Genomic DNA, 20,646 nt, shown 5'->3' on the forward strand with positions numbered 1-20,646 from the left:
CTATTAACTGGCAAATTTTGTGCAATCAGAGATGTTCAATGATGCCGAACCTGAATATCCAAAAAAGGTTAATTGAGCTCATTATTATCAGTATAAGCATCCAGGGAAGCAGGTACTATATTTTAGAATATTTTCTATCCTCTATGTTTAAAAACAAAAGCTTTTGTGTATCAATTTTCTAGAAAATTCACTTTCATAGAACCTTCATCCTCTGATAATTCCACATCGATTAAACATGATTGTAAGTGAATAACTTGCTCTTCTAATTGGCCAATCATACCAAAGAAATCTTGGTAAGTAATTATTTGAGCTCCGACCAATTTATAGTCAGGCTGATTCTCAAACAGGCTTACTGAATTGTCTTTAGGGCCTTTCCCTATGTCTTCCTTTTCTCTTGCTTTTTCTAGCAGAGTAGAAAAAAATGGGCAAAACCTGAAATTTAATTAATATCCAGACAGTTATACTCCGGGCAGAGCATTGGTGGGATGAAACACTTGAAACTCATGATTTCAGAGAGCTTTGGGGGCTTATTCTTGAGTACTTGAGTAAACTATCCCTGTTTTTCCTGTGATTCTTAGATCCTTGCTATTAAATTCACAGAGCCACTGTGTTTTGGAACCAAAAGGCACATTAGAATTTCAGAAATATTTCATTTTTAAATGACTGATTAATGGTACCTTAATAATGCTTATTATTGATAGAAGATTTAACTTATTTTTCCTAGTATGGGGGAAACTGAGAATCACATGATTTGTTTAAAGTCACAAACAGTTACTAGCAGAAGACTCTAAACTGCAGCACACTCCCATGCCCGACTGGAACAATTGGAACAAACATAGTTGTGATGACTTCTTTGTTCTTTCTCTCATTTTCTTGTTGTGGTCTATGAGGAAATTCATCTGAGGATCAGAAACAGTACGACTCAAATAATATTTAATTATAAATGAGAAGAGTCAGAGTGGCCTCCTGCCAATAAAACTCCTTTGCTTTTAACCTTTGCAAATGCAATGACCAGAATAAATGATGCTCTGAATGGGCTCACGTAATCACATTTAGTTGCCTTTCTGACCTTATCTTGGAAAACATTATAAAGGCATGTTTTCTAAGTATTGTGTACAGGGCATGTGTAGGATATAAGATTTCTGTTAAAAACCACTCAAATCGTCTTTAAACAATTGATGTTCAAATATGAACTGTCTGCTTGGAATCATAAATATTTACAAGGCTGACATTTGATTATTTTTTATGAAAGTAGAGAAAACACTTCAGCTGCCATTTAGGTGTTTGGAGAGGTGTTTGCTTTTGTTTTTCGGAGATGTTTGGGCACTCCTTGTTATTGACTGCCTCGCTGGTCGGTTTTAGGAAGCTTCCATCTTGTGGCAGACACAAATGCCTTAACATCTTGGGAAATTCCCATTGCAGATTATGATCAGAGGCACAGGGTAGTTAAATAACTGGGCCAAAAGTCACAGAGCCAGTAAGTGGAGTAGCTGAATTGAAACCAGGTGGTCTGGCTTCTGAGTCCATTGTTATTATCCACAGTGCTACATTGCCTCCCATTGTATCTGCTGTAGTCACTATCCACTCATTGACTAGCTGCTCTTGTCAATATTCAGCCAAGCATTTGCAAATCCTACTGTGTCCTCTTGTCACCTTTGTGTGGTGGTCAGATGCTCAGGTGCTGAGGAGGACAGGAGGAGATTGGACAGGAGAGGTCCGTAGGCAACGGGCCCCATAAAGTCCACCAGAGAAGCCTGGCTCTACAGACCTGGTCCTCCGTGGACTGGGACACGACAATTGCAAAGGATCATCATCATGAAGAATGAAAAGCCAGGAGCTCTTTGGTAGCCAGGATCATACACTGGAGAACAGAAGAGAGCTGGGGTTTGGTGGTTACCTCAGCAGCTGTGTGTCCAGGATGGACTAGGAATTTCCGGGTGTTCCGTTGAAGGCACTTTCTCAAACTCTCACTGTATCCACAAAACCAGAGTCCAGCTCATATCGAGGAAACTGCAGGAAAAGAAAAATCAGTTTCAAGGACAGCTGCCAAGACAGAGCAGGTAGAATCTTGATGTTTTTTGTTGTTGTTATTGGTGGTTTTTTTGTTTTTGATTTGCTCCAAAAGGCAAATAGTCAGGAAACTTTTATACGAGGCTTGAGCAGGAAGGGAGTTACTTTGTGACAAAAAATTTTTTGATGTCTTTTTGGGGGAAAGGAAGAGAGATCAGACTGTTACTGTGTCTATGTAGAAAAAGGAAGACAAAAGAAACTCCGTTTAGATCTGTACAAAGAAAAATTGTTCTGCTTTGAGATGCTGTTAATCTGTAAGTTTAGCATACACTTAATCTGTAAGTTTAGTGCTGGAGCTGGCTTCTGCTGGCTGGCTTCCCAAGTCTGGGTTTAGTGACTTTGCATTAGTAGTTTGAAATTGGCCACAGTAGGAGTGTTCATACCATAGAAAGTGGTAAATTCTACAGATGAAGTTTCCTCCAACCCTGGTCCCTCCCGCTAGCCAGTAGTTAAACATTTACAAACACACTCATGGAAAGGAGTGAAAGTCACAAAAATCAGTTTAGATTTAATTCCTTCCCAATTAGCGGGATGTCCTTGCTCTTGAGCCAGGCTTCCAAATCCTGCTGAAGTCACCACCTGGGACCACTTAGGCTTATTTTCCCCTTCTCCTTAACCAACTCTGCTCTCCTCTGTCTTCTGAAATTCCATTCTGAATGTGCCTCAATCCTTTCCCATCTCCATCCAGATGCTTTGGCCTAATTCTGGGCTACTCTTTTGACTCTGGTAGCAGCTTCTTAACTTGTGCCATTGGACAGAGTCTTGCCCTGCTTAGCAGCTGTCAACCCCCCCTTTAATCCCTGGGATGATCTTTCTAAAACACAACACAAGGTACATCTATTGCCAGGCACTTGTTTTAAAAGAAACACCTTAGCTTGTTATGGAAGACTTGGCCGCAATCTCTTTCTCACTCTTTCTGTCCAGCTTCATCTCAGGCTCCTTCCTTTGCCTCACCTTGCATTTTAGCCTCACTGAGCTCTGCTGCTGGAAGGAAACCCTGAGTCCCCACAGCATTTTGTGCAAGCCATGATGATCACTCACACCCCATTATGTTGAAATCCATGTATTCCTCTATCTTCCTCTGATCTGTGGTCCTCAATCACCAGGAAGATGTCTACTCCATGTAGTCACTATCATAGATCTCTATTGGTTTGTTTACTCATTACCACTCCTTCATCTTTTTCTTTGGGAAACTGTTTATCTCACCCCTACCCTGTTTCCATGGCTCCAGGTGGCCCCCTTTTGAACCTCCATCCAAGACGATGTAGGACCTTGGCTCAAGATGGGCCAAGTAATGTCTTCTTTGGTATATTGGAACTGGAAGAGAGTGGAGGGAAAGCAAGCTTCTTTTCTTGGTGCCTGGAATGTAAGATGTAAAATTCAAAGAATGTCTGGTGGTCATATTCTTCTGATGTGTGGACTGAGAGTGAAAGAAGCCAGTCTTCAGTAGAAGTTATCGCCTGCTGATGTGTAGCCAAGTAGACATGAGAGACTCATTTGTGAAATTGAATAGCAAGTATGTTAACAAGAAGGTAAAAACAACTTCTTGTATTTTCTGGCAAGTTTTAATTAAGGAAAACTCTAAAATATTAATTAAAACTAGCCACCTCCCACCAATTTTAGTTAAAATTATAAGACAGCACAGCATGTATGACTCAAATCTGCTTACTGCTTTTTGAGAACTTAAGTGTTTGATTTTTATTCTTCTCAGACTTTTCATCTTTTAATACCAGAGGTATTGGTTTCAGTCATATGATGGGAAAGAGGGATTTCTGGATTGACTCTGTTCCAGAGACTGGGCTGCCTTTAAGGTGTTGTGTTATTATGACATCTTTCCAATAAAAAGCCTTGTTTGCTTCAGCTAGTTTGGATTGGGATTTTCTAGTAACTTCTGTAAAATATTAAAAATAATGCCTCCACCCAAGATATCCATGTCCTAATCCCTGAAACCTATAAACATATCACATGACATAACAAATGGAAATTAAAGTAGCAGATGGAATCAAGATTGCTAATTAGTGGATTTTAAAATAGGGAAATCATCCTGGATTATCTGGGTGTACCCAATATAATCACAAGCATCTTTAGAAGTGGCAGAGGGAGACAGCAGAGAAGTTCAGAGTGATGGGATGTGAGGAGGATTTGACCCACTGTTGCTGACTATGAGGATGGAAGAAGGGGCCATGAGGAAGGTGGAGGGGCTCCAGGAGCTGGAAAAGGCAAAGAAACAGATTCTCCCCAAGAGGCTCCAGAAGGAACACAGCCTTGCATTCCTTGATTTTAGCCCTGTAGGACCTGTGTTGGGCTTCTGATCTGCAGACCTGTAAGATGATAAATTTGTGTTGCTTAAGCCACTACGTTTGTCACAGCAGTAAAAGACAATTCATATACTCTAGCAAACTTATAATCATTAAGACCATCTCTGCTTTTAATATCTCAAATGTTCCAATTCTCTTCTGTGAACACATTTCTCCATTTCTGCTCTTTGGTCTTAGTAAGATTCTTAATTCCTTATGTTCTTCAGTCTCTGCTTCCACACACACATATTTCATTTTCCTCCAAATGATGCAAATCTTCTAGCAGAGTTGCTGGCACATGAAAGGCATCCATTAGAGTAGTGATAGTAGTAGTGGTTTTGATTATTGTTATCATACTAAAGGGATTTCTTACTTCTACAGAGCCTAGAACAATGCCTCCCTTAGAAGTAGTTGTGATGAAACATTTGTGAAATTGAATAGCAAGTATGTTAACAAGAATGTAAAAACAACTCTTTGTATTTTCTGGCAAGTTTTAATTAAGGAAAACTCTAAAATATTAATTAAAACTAGCCAGCTCCCACGATTTTAGTTAAAATTATAAGACAGCACAGCATGTATGACTCACATCTCCTGCTTACTTCTTTTTGAGAACTTAAGTGTTTGATTTTTATCCTTACTCTCAGGCTTTTCATCTTTTAATACCAAAGGTATTGGTTTCAGTCATATGATGACAAACTGAAAGCCATTAATGTTTTTCAAAAGATGAGATGAACCCATCAGCTCATACACATTATTCAATTAGGAACTTGTAATTTATGTTCAGCTGACCAAGTTGTATGTCTTCAGACATTCCTATTGATTTTAATTTTATTTTATTCAATATTTTGAATGAACAAGTTGTCCAATAACTTGAGATTTAGTAGCTTTGCCTTCTCTAGAATTTTTAACTGCCTCCTGAAGTCTATCTATACGACCTTTGTCATTAATGTGGGACCTGTCATATGAAGAGTTTGTGAGAACTCAGAATGTAGTTGTTGTAAATAGCAACCAAAGTTTTAAAGTAAAATCAGCATTTTGCTGAAATGTAATTCAGAAGCCTGCTTGAGCATAGTATAAATGTGATTAGGGTAATACGCCTGGGTTTTAATGAACAGGCTGCAGAAATGAGGGGACACTTGGTGCAGTTTGTAGCCAGGCTTGGGAGCCGGAGCTCAAATCTCAGTTTGATATTAACTTGTGGCCTTAAGTCAATTACTTGACTCTTCATTTTTATGTTTTTTAAAAAAACTGTGGAATGCTTCAAATATGCAAAATAACATAACGAACTTACCTTCTAGCTTTAATAAGTGTTAACTTTTTTTCATATTTGCTATGGCTCTTTTTTGGGAGGTAAGAGAGAAAACACTGCAGATCTGTGTAAACCCCCCTCTTGCATGCCTCCCCTTTCCCCAGCCCCTTCCTCTCCTTCTTTCTGTGGAGTAGCTTCCACCATAAAGTTGGTGTGTTGTACTCTTATGTCTTAAAGAATGAGTTCTACATGTTTTTAAACTTTGCATAAATGGTATCCTACTGTGCATATTTTGCAGCTTCCTTCTTTTACATACCATTTTTGAGGATTAACCATGTCAGCATTGCTCTTAGTCATTTGAAATGCTTTGCCATTTTCTATTAGACAAACATGTGACAGCTTATTTTTCTATAATTCTATCCATAGATTTTAAAATTACGCTCAGTGAGAAACAATGATGTAGCAAGCATTTTTGTGCATAGGCTTGAGGGAGAGTTTTTCTAGATTAGAAAAGTAGAAAAGGAAGTGTTGGGATTTAGTGCACGTGCATCTTGAACTTCCCCAAATCTTGTCACATTGCCCTCCGAAATGACTGGCATACCAGCTGTGTGTGACAGTCTTGTTTCTCTGCATTCTTACTGTTTTGGTGGTCCCCAAGATTACTCCTCAGTTCAGCAATTTCCTAGAAGGACTCACAAGACTCTGTAAGAGTTATTACCCATGGCTAGGATTTATTCCAACAAAAAGATACAAAGCAAAATCGATAAAGGAAAAAGGCAAGACAGGCCAAGACTTGGGAGACCAGTTTCCAGAATCCCTTCACAATGGAGTGGTACAGAACATGCTTATTCCTCCAGCAACTCACTGCAACAAGAGCTATGAGTTTTCTTTTCTTTTCTTTTCTTTTCTTTTCTTTTCTTTTCTTTTCTTTCTTTCTTTCTTTCTTTCTTTCTTTCTTTCTTTCTTTCTTTTTTTTTTTGAGACAGAGTTTTGCTCTTGTAGCTCATGGAGTGCAGTGGCGTGATCTCGGCTCACTGCAACCTCCACCTCCTGGGTTCAAGTGATTCTCCTGCCTCAGCCTCTCGAGTAGCTGAGATTACAGGCACCCAACACTGTGCCTGGGTAATTTTTGTATTTTTAGTAGAGACGAGGTTTCACCACGTTGGCCAGGATGGTGTCGATCTCTTGATCTTGTGATTCGCCTGCCTCGGCCTCCCAAAGTGCTGGGATTACAGGAGTGAGCCGCTGTGCCCAGCCGTGCTGTGAGTTTTCTGCCCAGAGAAGCTTGTTTAAGCCTAAAGGTCTAGAGTTTTAAATGGAGTCTGGTCCTACAGCCTTTGTGACTAGCTATAGTTATTGAAACTCCAGACCTGCAGAAGGAAAGCAAATGTCCGCCACAAACCACAGAATTTGCACAAATTGTCTAGACAAGCTGGTACTACATGGTTAAAGGCTCCAAGTGTTTAAAATGCCCTGTTAGTAGCATAGGAAATAGCTCAGTTACCAGGAGCCAGCCAAGGGCTGTCACACAGCAGGCCCCGCTGAGGATGCACAAGATTTGAGCAATCAGGCCTGCTGAGTTCATTTTTCTGCACGTTTGACAACTTGATATTTTCATCATAAACTTTTAGTCAACTTGATGAGTGTGAACTAGAACCTCATTTGTATTTTAATTTGCATTTCCTTGATTATGAGTGTGACCAAGTGGGTTTCCTCTTCTCTGACTTGCCTGTTCATTTATAATGCACATTTTTCCTTGAAAGTTTTTCCTACTTTTTTTCTTGATTTGCAATTCTTTCCACATTTTAAATATTAAATCCCTTGTTGGATGTATGTATTGCAGATATCTTCTCCTCGTCTCTAAATTGCATTTCTTTTCCATTCCTGGGTTACTGAGTTATTTTCTATGAATGAAGGCTGAATTTTCTTGAATGGTTTTTCTTTATTCATTGGTGGATTAGTCTCTTGCGGCCACTGGAACAAATTGCCACAAACTGGATAACTTAAAATAACAGAAATTTATTCTCTCACATTCCTGGAGACCAAGGTCTAAAATCCAGGTGTCAGCAGGACTGGTTCCTTGTGGAGGCTCTGAGCAAGAACCCATTCCATGCTTCTCTTCTAGGTTCTGGGGGCTGCAGGCAATGCTTTGTGCTCCCTGGCCTGTAGCTGTGTCCCTCGAGTCACGGAATCTGTCTTCACAACACCTTCTCCTCTGTCTTCCATGTGTGCCTCTTATAAGGACACCTGTCACTGAAATTCAGGCCTATCTAGATAATCCAGGATGATTTCCTCATCTCAAGATCCTTAATTATATACACAACGATACTTTCTCCAAATACGTTAACATTCACAGTTTCAGGGATTAAGATGAGGATGTATATTTTTTGGGGGGCCAACATGCAGCCCAGTATAATTGAGATGAGACTATCATTTTCTCCTTTCATCTGTTATTGTAGTAGATTATATTTAAAGATATTCTAATGTTGACCCATTTTTGCACTCCTAGGATAAATTCTAGTTGGCCCTAATGTTTTTTTTAACCCATCTCAGTGCAACCTGAAGGCCCTAATATTTTAATTAAGTGTGTGTGTGTGTGTGTGTGTGTATGAGATAGAGCCAAATTCAGTTTCTTTCTTTCTTCCTTTCCTTCCTTTCTTTCTCTCTCTCTCTCTTCCTTCCTTCTTTTCTTTTCTTTTCTTTCTTTCCCTCAATTTTTTTTTTTGACAGAGTCTAGCTTTGTTGCCCAGGCTGGAGTGTAGTGGTGTGATCTCTGCTTACTGCAACCTCTGCCTCCCAGATTCAAGCGACTATCCTGCCTCAGCCTCCCAAGTAGCTGGGATTACAGGTGCACACTACTGTGCCCAGCTAACTTTTTTTTGTATTTTTAGTAGAGATGGGGTTTCACCATGTTGGCCAGGCTGGTCTTGAACTCCTGACCTCAAGTGATCCACCCTCCTCAGCTTCCCAAACTGCTGAGATTACAGGCGTGAGCCAAATTCAATTTCTTTATATTAATATTTAACATTTTTACATCTGTGTTCATAAATGAGATTAAATTACGGTTTATTTTATTGCCTGGTTTTGATTCAAAAGTCTCATAAAATGAGGCCTTCCTTCTTTTCTACTCTCTGGAATAGTTTGTAGAAGATTAAAAAAAAACTTACATGTCTAAATATGCTTTACCTTCCTCGGGCTCAGTTTCATCACAGATCAAGTGAGGATATTGCTGCCATCAACTTTGTGAATTGTTGAAATTTTGTGAGATGAGCCATGGTAAAGGACTTGGCACACAGTGAGTGCTCAGTAAGGTTGGCCATTGTTACTAACTTTGACACCCGTTTTGAAGAGCCCTTAGCTTTGCAGTTGTTGGCACTTCCTGAAACTGTCCTCTTTTGAGATTTCTCTGAACTACCTCAAAGCCTCACAGTGAGAAGCATCTGGTGTAGAGGAGTGAACATTCTGAACGAGAATCTCAGACAATCTGGCATGGTCATTTATTGCCTGGGTAATATTGATCAGAATACTTATCCCCTCCTTTTTTGTTTTAGAAAAGAAAGAAATTCTCTTCTGTTTCTTGTGCAGGGACAGCATGAGTTTGTGTTTGTTTGTTTGTTTGTTTGTTTGTTTGTTTGTTTGTTGTTTGTCTGTTTCTTAAGTTCCGGAGAGATTCTCATCTGCAAAAAGAAAAAATAAAACCCTCAAAATCCCCAAAACACATGCTATGAGGAGTTGCTGCTCTCTGTGTCTCAGCTAATCCTCTCCCTACCTGAAGAAAGAGATGAGTCGCTTTGTCCCCATCTACTCAGTTCCATCCACTCAAGCAAAGAACTTACCTTATCTCAAGGGGACAAAAAGAATGTGTTTATTAATGGGCCAAGCAGATTTCATTTGTCTTTAAGTGTGTCCAAGTTGATTAGGAACAATATTCAACATAATAAGGGGCACCATTTATGGAGATCTTATTTCATTCAAGACACCTTGCTGAAGTCACTACATGCATCCCACCAGCATGTTGTGAGTCTGCCAGTATTTAGTTATCTTCATTTTATAGATGAGGACACCAACACTTGGAGAGGTGAAATAATATGCCCAACATCACAGATGTATGGATATTTATTTAATCCTTAAACTTATTCCCTTAATCTGACCAAGCCACAGATTTGCCAGAGATTAGCTGATGGAAATCCCAGAAGGTCTCATTCAGATAAGAAGAGACTGGGATCCCCAGTATCTCTGAGCAGCCAATGTGAGCTGGAGTCGGCCCAGGTGGTGGCTGGAACATCATGGGACCTTCTGCATGAAGGGACCACTTCTTGGTCACTGTTTGATCACAATTTGCTATGCACCATTTGCCATGCAGAGCATTCTCATGTATGTTAACTCACTTGATCTTCACATCCATGCTAAAGAAGTATAAACACCTGAGCTTATCTAGAAGGATCCAAAGCACAGTTCAGGCTATTTGTCCCAAGCAGCCATTGCCTGACTTAAAAAATGGGAAGGGGCAATAAAACCATTAGCATACTGTTAGTAAACGTGACTGCACTTAACTAACTGCACTTAACTTTGTTAGAGGTTTGACACATAAAATATGACCACGACTGTGCTGTCTGCTCCAAAGGTCAACAGACCCTCCCCTGGGATTCTCCAAAGCTACAAGGAATGATTAATGAGCCTCATTAGCCAGGGTAATTGGGTGTTAGGAGAGCTACAGCTTTTGCCCTGATGGGAGTAACAGACGCCAACCCAGACATGCTGCTCAGCCCTGTTATTAATGAGGCTCACATAAGTTTTAAGGTACTTTCAAAAACTCCAACCTGACTCTTCTTTGGGTTGGTTAAAGAAGAAATGAAAACAAATCGGATTGCCAGTTTGGGTAGCTTTTAACCACTGGTGTAAAGGACTCAGAAGTCATTATCTCAGTCATAGAAGCCTTTTCCATTCAGTTTCTTAACAATGGTAATGAGGAAAATAAATGTGAAAAGAATGTCTCAGTAATGATGTATGCCATCTCAAAGCCATTTTATCACAGAATGCCAGGATGTTCGAGAAGATGACAGTAGTGCTTCTGGGAGGCCATTCTTCAAAGAACTGGTGACATTCGTTGCTATTAATTGGTGACATTAATTGCTATTTGTTTAAAATAGCAGCTTGCATTTAATCTAATTTCTGGAGCCATCTCTTTGGCCTTTTGGAGTGGCCCACACATAATTTCTTTGTGATCAATGCTATAATCACACCATTGTTTCATCAAAGATGGCTTCATAAGTGTTTGTTGAGTGAATCTAAGCTTCCGGCGGTAGTAGACCACACTGACTTGGTTCTGTGTTAAGTTTCTGGAATAGAAAATGAGCCTAGATTGCTGTTTATGTCCAAGATGGGAGCCGGTACTACCTTTGATACAAAAATGCAGAAGATGTGTTTCTTGCCCTTCAAAAAGCTGACCATCCAGCATATATCAGGATGAAAGGCAGGCTTCTTATCATACGCCACTGGTGTTTGGTTGGCTGGTTGGTCATGGCTGCCTGGAGTGCTGTGTGGAGAAAATTCTGAGACTTCATCTAGGTCAGTGGAAAAAAAACACTGTGATCAAAGAAAACATCTATCATGGACGAGTTGGGCAGGAAGAGGGCGCAATGCTACATATTTTCCATCCCTATTTCAAAGAGCATAAATAGACATTATATCACAAGTGCCAAGGAGCACAGGAAAGATAGAAATAATACTTGGTTGTTGTTCACATGAGGGTGAAAATACCTTCCCCTCCAGGGCCAGTGGTTGTTCTGTCCACTGTAGACAGACCCTGTGGGTGCCTTATGGGGGAGGAGGCTTGCGTCACACACAGCTTGGCACCTGTGATGGCAGCTGGTCTATGGAGATGCTGCTGAGAGTCCGGCAAAACTGCTTTTGTAACTGACCACAAATCCAGTTAGGGGTTGATAAACCCCAAACACTCCCTGGTCTTTGGAAACATTATAGAGTTTATTACATAGAAGAGCTTGACTTTTAGATCAGATGAATGGGTTTTGTTTCTTATGTCCATAATGCAGCTTTAAGAAGCCTCCAGGTTTGTGGATGGGGCTGGGTTAGAGACCTCTCACAGCAACAAGCTTACCACACCACCCAGCACGTGGAATTCAGCATGAGACTGACTTAAACCATTACAGCGATTTGTTTTCGCAGTGACACAAAACTTACATACATGCTGAAATTAAGTGGCCTCTCACTGGGTTTTTGAGTTTCTTCTTTCTCTCCCTTCTTTGTCGGTGCCCTGGGTATGTATTTACTTTGCTATTGGGTAACCCAGTCCTGTGCTTTATGGTCATCTAGAGCCTGTGCCCATATTCACTCCAGGCTTTACCGGCTCTAGGTCTGGTCTCTGAAAAATAGGCTTTAAAGAAACTCGTATTGATGCCATTCCCAGTGGCTTATTTGCTTTGCCCTCATAGGCAGTAAAGAGATCATGAGCAGAACTGACAGAGCAGGCAGGATCAGAGGAAATGCTCAGTATCTGGAAGGAGCTATAATTCTTCTGACACCTCTGCTTTCAGGAGCATGGAACCTGCTAGAAAGGGGCATCTCCTGACAGTCCAGTGGGCTTCTTAGTGCTGCCCCCACCCAGGATTAAAGCCATCTCAAGTTCTCATAAGGCCCTAAGCAGCCAGCCTGCTAGATTGAAACTAGGCATTGGGAAATCCCTTGGCTCTAAAGAATCCTGGTTATAACACTCTGAAAAAGACAAATCTGTCCCCCTGTATATCAACAGATCTAAGGAGCCCCATCTGTCCCCACATCCTTCAATAAAGAGGTTATTAGTAGCCAGTACTTCTGACATCCATTGCATGAAGGAACACAGTGTTTGCCATGTCGAGTGAACACCCATCTGGGTGAGGAGAGGCTAGCAGGGCTGGGCTACAGGTAGTCCCTACCTGTGACTTGCTTTCCCAAGCAGTTTCTAAAGGCACGTCTCAGCTTTGCTATTCATTGGTTAGTCTTATGGCAGAGATGCTCATTTGGACCATCAGACCCAACACATTTCTTGCCTGTGTGTTCTGCCCCGGCCTAGACATTAAACATTTGAACACAGCATCTGCCTTCACTGGGACTCAGTCCAATAAGGGAGAAAGACACACAGACATTTATGACCCAGTGCCATAAGGGCTGTCTTAGTGGAGTCACCCTTTACTCCTCTCTTTCTCTCATATTTCATAATCCGTCCTGTTGGCTTCTAACCAAGGTGGTGAATCTGACCACCTCTGCTCAAAATCCACTGTTGTCTCTCAATTCACTTTAGAATGTCCAACCAGGCTCCACATGCCTGCTCCCTGAAGTCTCTTCCAAATGCCATGTCCTGCTCACCCACTCTGCTCCAGCCAAACCTGTCTCCTGTCTTAAGCCTATCTGAAATGCTTGGGACCAGAGGTGTTTGGGATTTGGGATTTTTTGGGGGGAATATTTGCATTATACTTACCAGTTGAGCATCCCAAACCCCAAATCCAAAATAGCCTAATGAGAATTTCCTTTGAGCATCATGTTGTTACTCAAAAAGCTTTGGATCTGGGGGCACCTCAGATTTGGGGTTTTCAGATTTGGGAGGCTCAACCTGTATCTGTTCCTCAGCCAGGAATATTTGTCCTCTACAAATGGGTAACTCCCTCTTTCAACTTTGTGTACAGATGTCACCTACTCTGTGAGGTCTACCTGACCACCTATTTTACTTTTTAAACTTATTTTTTATTGAAGTAGGATATATATATATATATATATATATATATATATATATATATATATATGTAATTTACCATCTGTACCATTTTTAAGTGTACAGTTCAGTGGCAGTAAATACATTTATATTCTCCCTTTTCCCCCTCATTCTCCCTTTCCTCCTTTCTTCCCAGCCTTTGGTAACTGACCCCCTATTTTAAATGGGAAGCTGCCTTCCCACCCTTGTACTCGTGTACATCTTTTTTCTGCTTTGTTTTTTCCCATGGAGTTTCTCATTGTCCAGTAGACTGACATACATTATTTTACTGTACTTTGCTTTTTGAGCTTCACAGATATTGGAATTTTTACAAATGGAATGTTTGTGGCAACCCTGCCTTAAGCAAGTCTATCGGTGGCATTTTTTCCAATAATATGTTTGCTTTGTGTCTCTGTGTCACATTTTGGTAATTCTGACCATATTTCAAACTTCATTATTATTATTTCTTTCAATTATTAGATTTGTTACAGTGATCTGCCATTGGTGATGTTTGTTACTATTGCAGTTGAAAACAAACCGTGTTCATAGATGACAAACTTAATTGATACATGATGTGTGAGTTCTAACTGTTCCATAGACCAGCTGTTCCTCCACCTCTCTTCTTCTCCCTATTCCCTGAAACACAACAGTGTTGAAATGAGGCCGATTAATAACCCTACAATGTCCTCTGAGTGTTCAAGTGAAAGGAAGAGTCCCACCTCTCTCACTTTAAATCAAAAGCTAGAAATTATTAAGCTTAGCGAGGAAGGCATGTTGAAAGCTGATGTAGGTCACAAACTAGGCCTCTTGTACCAGTTAGCCATGTTGTAAATGCAAAGGAAAAATTCTTGAAGGAAATGTAAAAAGTGCTCCTCCAGCGAACACATAAATGATGAGAAAGCAAAACAGCCTTATTGCTGATATGGAGAAAGTTTGAGTGGTTTGGAGAGAAGATCAAACCAGCCACAACATTCTTTTAAGCCAAAGTCTAATCTAGAGCAAGGCCCTAACTCTCTTCAATTCTATGAAAGCTAACAGAGGTAAAGAAGCTGCAGAAGAAAACTTGGAAGCTAGCAGAGGCTGGTTCATGAAGTTTTGGGAAAGAAGCTTTCTCTATAACACAAGAGAGCAAGTTGAGGAAGCAAGTGCTGATGTAGAAGCTGCAGCAAGTTATCCAGAAGATTTAGCTAAGATTACTGATGGAGGTGGCTACATCCAACAGATTTTTGAGGTAGACAAAATACCCTTCTGTTGAAAGGAGATGCCATCTAGAACTGTCATAGCTAGAGAGCAGAAGTCAATGCCTGGCTTCAAAGCGAAAAAGGACAGGCTAGCTCTCTTATTAGAGGCTAATACATCGGGTGAGTTTAAGTTGAAGCCAATGCTCGTTTTCCATTTTGAAAATCCTAGGGCCTTTATGAATGATGCTAAATCTACTCTGTCCATGTTCTATAAATGGAAAAAGAAAGCCTGGATGACAGCATACCTGTTTACAGCAGGATTTACTGAAAATCTTAAGCCTACTGTTGAGACCTTTTGCTCAGAAAAAAGATTCCTTTAAAAAATTACTGCTCATTGACAATGTACCCAGTCACGCAAGAGCTCTGATGGACATAGACAAGGAGATAAATGTTGTTTTCATGCCTGCAATTACAGCATCCACTATGCAGCCCATGGATCAAAGATTCATTTTGACTTTCAAGTCTTATTATTTGCAAAATACATTTTTAAGGCTATAGATGCCATAGATAGTGATTCCCCTGATGGATCTGGAAGGTCAGTTGAAAACCTTTTGGAAGGGATCACTATTCTAGATACCATGAACAACATTTGTGATTCATGGGAGGAGGTCAAAATATCAACATTACCAAGAGTTTGGAAGAAGTTGATTCCAACCCTCATGGATGACTTGGAGGGGTCCAAGGCCTCAGTGGATGAAGTCATTGTAGATGTAGTGGAAATAGCAAGAGAACTAGAATTAGATGTGGAGCCTAAATATGCGACTGAATTGCCGCAATCTCATAATAAAACTTGAATGAATGAGGAGTTGCTTTTTATGGTCGAGGAAGGAAAAGTAGTTTCTTGAGATGGAATCTACTCCTGGTGAAGATACTGTGAACATTTTTGAAATTACAACAAAGGGATTTAGAATAATCCACCAACTTAATTGCCAAAGCAGCAGGTTTTGAAAGGATTGACTTCTAATTTTGAAAAAAGTTATACTGTGGGTCAAATGTGATCAAACAGTATCACATGTTACAGAAATATCTTTCATAAAAGGAAGATTTAACCAATGTGGTAGACTTCATTGTTGTCTTATTTTAAGAAATTGCCACAGCCACCCCAAACTTAAGCAACCACTATCCTGATCAGTCAGCAGCCATCAACATTTAGGCAAGACCCTCCACCAGCAAAAAGATTATAACTTGCTGAAGGATCAGATCATTGTTAGCACCTTTTGGTAATAAAGTATTTTAATTAAGGTGTGTGCATTTTTTTAGACATAATTCTATTGCGTACTTAATAGACTACAGTATGATATAAACATAATTTCTTTCTTTCTTTTTTTTTATTTTGAGATGGAGTCTCACTCTGTCGCCCAGGCTGGAGTGCAGTGGCATGATCTCAGCTCACTGCAAGTTCCACTTCCCAGGTTCACACCATTCACCTGCCTCAGCCTCCCAAGTAGCTGGGGCTACAGGTGCCCACCACCACACCTGGCTAATTTTTTGTATTTTTAGTAGAGATGGGGTTTCACCGTGTTAGCCAGGATGGTCTCGATCTCCTGACCTCGTGATTCGCCCGCCTCGGCCTCCCAGAGTGCTGGGATTACAGGCATGAGCCACCGCATCCGGCTGGTATAAACATAATTTGTATATGCATTGGGAAACCAAAAAAATTATGACTTACTTTATAGCAACATTTGCTTTATTGCAGTAGTCTGAACTGAACCCAAAATATCTCTGAGGTATACCTGTAGTATATTTCACTTATGTGTTGTTTGTTGGCTGTTCTCTCCAGTTGAAATGTAACCTCCACATGGCAGGGATTTTTACCTGTCAGTTTATGAATATATCTAGGACCTAGAGTGTTACCTGGTATAGGGAAGGCCCTCAGTGAATATTTGCTTGGTGAATGAATGCCTGCGTGAATAAATGCCTGAATGAATGAATGTATCAGTGCACAGAGCAGAAAGCAGAAAGTGACTATCCTAAGGGGGTAGTGTAAATGTCTGAAAGGTTTCAACCATGAGGAGACTACTTCTGGGCTGGGAGTTTTCCAGATGGAGGGTGAGGAAGGAGAAGAATTGGGCGGCTTTTCAGGTAGAGGGAACGGCAATTATAAAGTCACTGGGGCCTGGAAGAGTTAATTTAACACTTATTATAACACACTTATTATAATAATTTTATGCCATCGAGGTATGCCTGTTCCCAGACTGTTTATTCTTGTAAATAATATATCATGTTCTTATAAAATAGTCTGAAGTTTTGTAGGCATGGCAAAATCTGACTCACAATTATTTTGGTTTGCAGTAGTGCTCTGAAAACCAAATTCCTCTCAGAAGATTGAAATTTGAAATCTGAAACTGTGGGGGTATTCTCACCCATTCCTAACAGATTCCTAAGATGTTCAAAAGTGTAAATCTATAAAGCTGTGTAGCTAGAAATTCAGAGACTCAGATTTATTGATATTGATTCTATCTCACAAGGAAAGGTAATGAAAATGTCATTGGAGGTAGCTGGTTGGTGGAGATCTCTCCACCCTTAACCATGATGTCTTTCAGAGAATGAAAGCTGGCCAAGTTTGACAGCTTCCATTCTGCATCTCAGAGAACTGTAATAAGATGACCCATGAAATACTGGCTTGATCTTTCACTTGTGGGAATTCAAATATTTGAAGTAATACTCTCCTAGTTTCAATGAGCTTATAAAGAAGGTTGAATAAAGAATCAAAAATTCTGTATCTGAAATTTAAAAAACAACAATAGCAAAATGCTACAGCAAAGACATGGTGTAGCATAGTAGAAAAAGCACTAGATGGCCGGGCATGGTGGCTCATGCCTGTAGTCCCAGCACTTCGGGAGGCCAAGGCAGGTGAATCACGAGGTCAGGAGTTCGAGACCAGCCTGGCCAACACAGTGAAATCCTGTCTCTACTAAAAATACAAAAAATAGCTGGATGTGGTGGTGTGCACCTGTAATCCCAGCTACTCGGGAGGCTGAGGCAGAAGAATTGCTTGAACCCATGAGGCGGAGGTTGCAGTGAGCAGAGATCATACTACTGCACTCAAGCCTAGTGACAGAGTGAGACTCTGTCTCGGAAGAAAAAAAAAAGAAAAGAAAAGAAAAGAAAAGAAAAAGCACTGAATTTTAAGTTCGAAGCCCAGGGTTAAAATACTGGCTCCATCCATGTGACCTTGACCAAATTGCTTTATGTTTCTGAGCCCAGATAGCCTCAGTTATAAATGATAGGTTTGTTATGTGAGTAAGGCCCAACATAGGCCTCAACAATTGTTAGTAATGTAGGAATCTGGAAGTTATAATTGAGGCAGACATGCATGGACATCGTATAAGTGAAAAGGAAGTGAAATCTAGAAAATGTGAGTCAAAATGATGAAAATGTAAAGATTATGGGAAGAGATGACAGTGACTAGAGAATACCATTTTTTATTTTCTAATGTTATTGATGAAGTTGGTATTCATTACAACACCACTGATTCACTTGGGATTGAAAAGTGATGCCATCTGCCTTGCCGGGGAATCAAGTCATAACTCATTACTGTTAGAATGAGATCATTAAGATGACACATTGCCAACATAAGGAACACTGTCACAAAGCTCTGGGAAAATAAGCAGTTTAGGAAGGGAGTCTCCGTTGATAGGAATGGTTGAGTGATTATAATATTGTGGCTCAAGCTTTATCCCAAACCCCGCACCAGACATTGGCTGAGGAAAATAAGAAGGGGAAAAGTTGTATCTAAGGGAAAAGACAGAAGCACTTTACCTTAAGTGACCTGCTATTTACAACCTATGTGCTAGACAACTTATCATCATCTTTGGCTAAACTCTTTTCTATGTTTGAGGAATTCCCTACTTTCTGAGGTTTGGGAGGAGGCAGAATCTCCTGGGAGGGGATGACAGAGCCAGGTCCTCCCTCTTGAGGACCCTAACAGCAGAGAATAATCTCTGGCCTCATCCAGTTCTTTGTTGCCCAGGCAGGACTTGAACTCCTCAGCTCAAGCAATCCTCCTGCCTCAGCCTCTGCAGTAGCTGGCACTACAAGTGCATACTACCACCCCTGGCTATTTTGTTTCATTTTTTTGTTAACATTTCAAATTGACGCATAAGTGTGCATATTTATGGGGTACATAGTGATGTTTTCATATACACAATGTATAGTGATCAAGGGTAATGAGCATTGGGTTTTGATTGAATGTAACTTGCAAGAGAGTGAGTGGCAGGATTTGAGCACAAAATGAAGTAGAGCATGCAAATGTAAGTGCTTTGCAAATTGTAGAGTGCTAGAAAAAAATGTTGATTCTTTTTAATTTTCTCCCTTCCAGGGTTATTTACAGACTAAATGAGACAGTGTATATCTAACATTGCTTTGTGGATGCTATCAAGTGCTGGCAAATGTGTGGGAGAATGAATGGAAAACTTCATCAATTTCTAGGATAGTAAATTGGTGCTGCTATTTTGGAGAGCAATTTGTCAGCCTTCAGGGGAAACTGAATATGCACATCCTCTAAGACCCAGCAGTTTCACTTCAAAGAAAATTTCTTATATGCACAGAGACTTGTACAAGGATATTTATCACAGCACTGTTTGTAATAACAAAGGGCTGGAAATAAACCAAATGGCCAATGATAAGAATTGATAAATGTGGTAAATGCCTAAAATAGAATGTCACACAGCAGTTAAAAAATCATTTATTCACTAATTAAGCAAAGGACAAAAAGCCTCAACAGAAAAAAAAAGACAAAAGCCTTGAATAGTCACTTTGCCAAATGTTCAATACACGTACAAAAACATGGGCAAGTTCATTGGTTGTCAAGGAAGTTCGAATTAAAGCCACATTTTGCAGGTACAACACTGGCACAAGTTTAAGTCTGATGATACCAAGTCTTGGAGAAGGTTGAAGCTACTGGAAAACCTGCCCTCTGCTGGTGGGAGTGCAAATTGCTCCAAGCTCTTTGGACAATAATTTGGCATCCTCTAGTGAAGTTGAAGATGTGTGTGCTTGAGACTCAGCAATTCCCCTTTGTGACATCAGGATGCTCCCGCACATATGCTTAAGAACATTCATGCCAGCTTTGTTTATATAACAAAAACGTGGAAATAACCCAAATGTCTGAGGATGGGGAATGGACAAATAATGGTTCATAGTTATGAAAATGAATACACAACAGCTACAAGCATCTACTGGAATGAATCTCACATGCATTGTGTTGTAGAAGAATATGTATAATTCCATTTATGTAAAGTTTAAAAGCATGCACAACTAAATGATATGTTATTTATGAGTATATGACATATATGATAAAGGCAAAGAATAAATAAAGTAAGGAAAGGTAAGACAATAAGAGTTTGTGATACTGGTTACCTATTATGGGGAAGGATGTTGGGGACAGGTGGGACACCTTGGGGATTATCTGATACTGGCAATCTGACAGGTGGTAGGTCACCAGGTGTTCTTATTAACTTCAATACTCTATATATCCTAACACTGGTAAATCTCAAGTATGTAATACTGAATGAAAAAAAATCAAAAGTCAAATAGTACAGTCCTATTTGTGAAGAAAAACTAACCCACGTGAATAAAGTATTGTTAGGGATGCCTCTCTATGTAAATAAAGCCGTACAGGGCAGCTACATGTTAAATTCGTTGGCGTGTGCACATACAGTGGAATGATAATGGGATTAGGGACTGAGTGAAGGGGAGGGCAGTACATAACATTTCAAAATGGTAAACATGAAAATGGGGCTGTTTGTGAACTCCTGATGCTTGTGTGCCATGAACTGACTTGAGGTGGTTAAATTAAGCAATTCGCTCTCTTTCCATGCATGTGATATCCCAAAGGGAAAGAAAGGTTGCTTTGCAAATTAGAATAATCAAAATCAAGTATGAACCATTAAACATGTTTTGCTTGCTGGTAGATTAAGGATCACACTGGATATACAGTAGAAAATAAAGCTATTTGCTAATGTGCCTTGAATCTTTAGTCAAAAATCTGTCATGAACTGAGACACATGCTGAATTTCCTTCTTTTCTCCTCTTTTAAAATAA

General features: G+C 40.1%; 1 long non-coding RNA gene across 1 annotated transcript in view; it reads left to right on the plus strand.

Moving 5' to 3' along the window:
- Positions 1–19,939, plus strand: part of LOC105378515 (uncharacterized) — a 164,918-nt gene extending 144,979 nt beyond the window's left edge. The window contains exon 8 of the long non-coding RNA XR_001747606.1: positions 18,923–19,939. This is a non-coding gene — a long non-coding RNA (uncharacterized LOC105378515). The remainder of the gene's footprint in view (positions 1–18,922) is intronic.
- Positions 19,940–20,646: the final 707 nt, after the last annotated feature.

Source organism: Homo sapiens, chromosome 10, assembly GCF_000001405.40.
Source record: "Homo sapiens chromosome 10, GRCh38.p14 Primary Assembly".
Taxonomy (NCBI): Eukaryota; Metazoa; Chordata; class Mammalia; order Primates; family Hominidae; genus Homo; species Homo sapiens.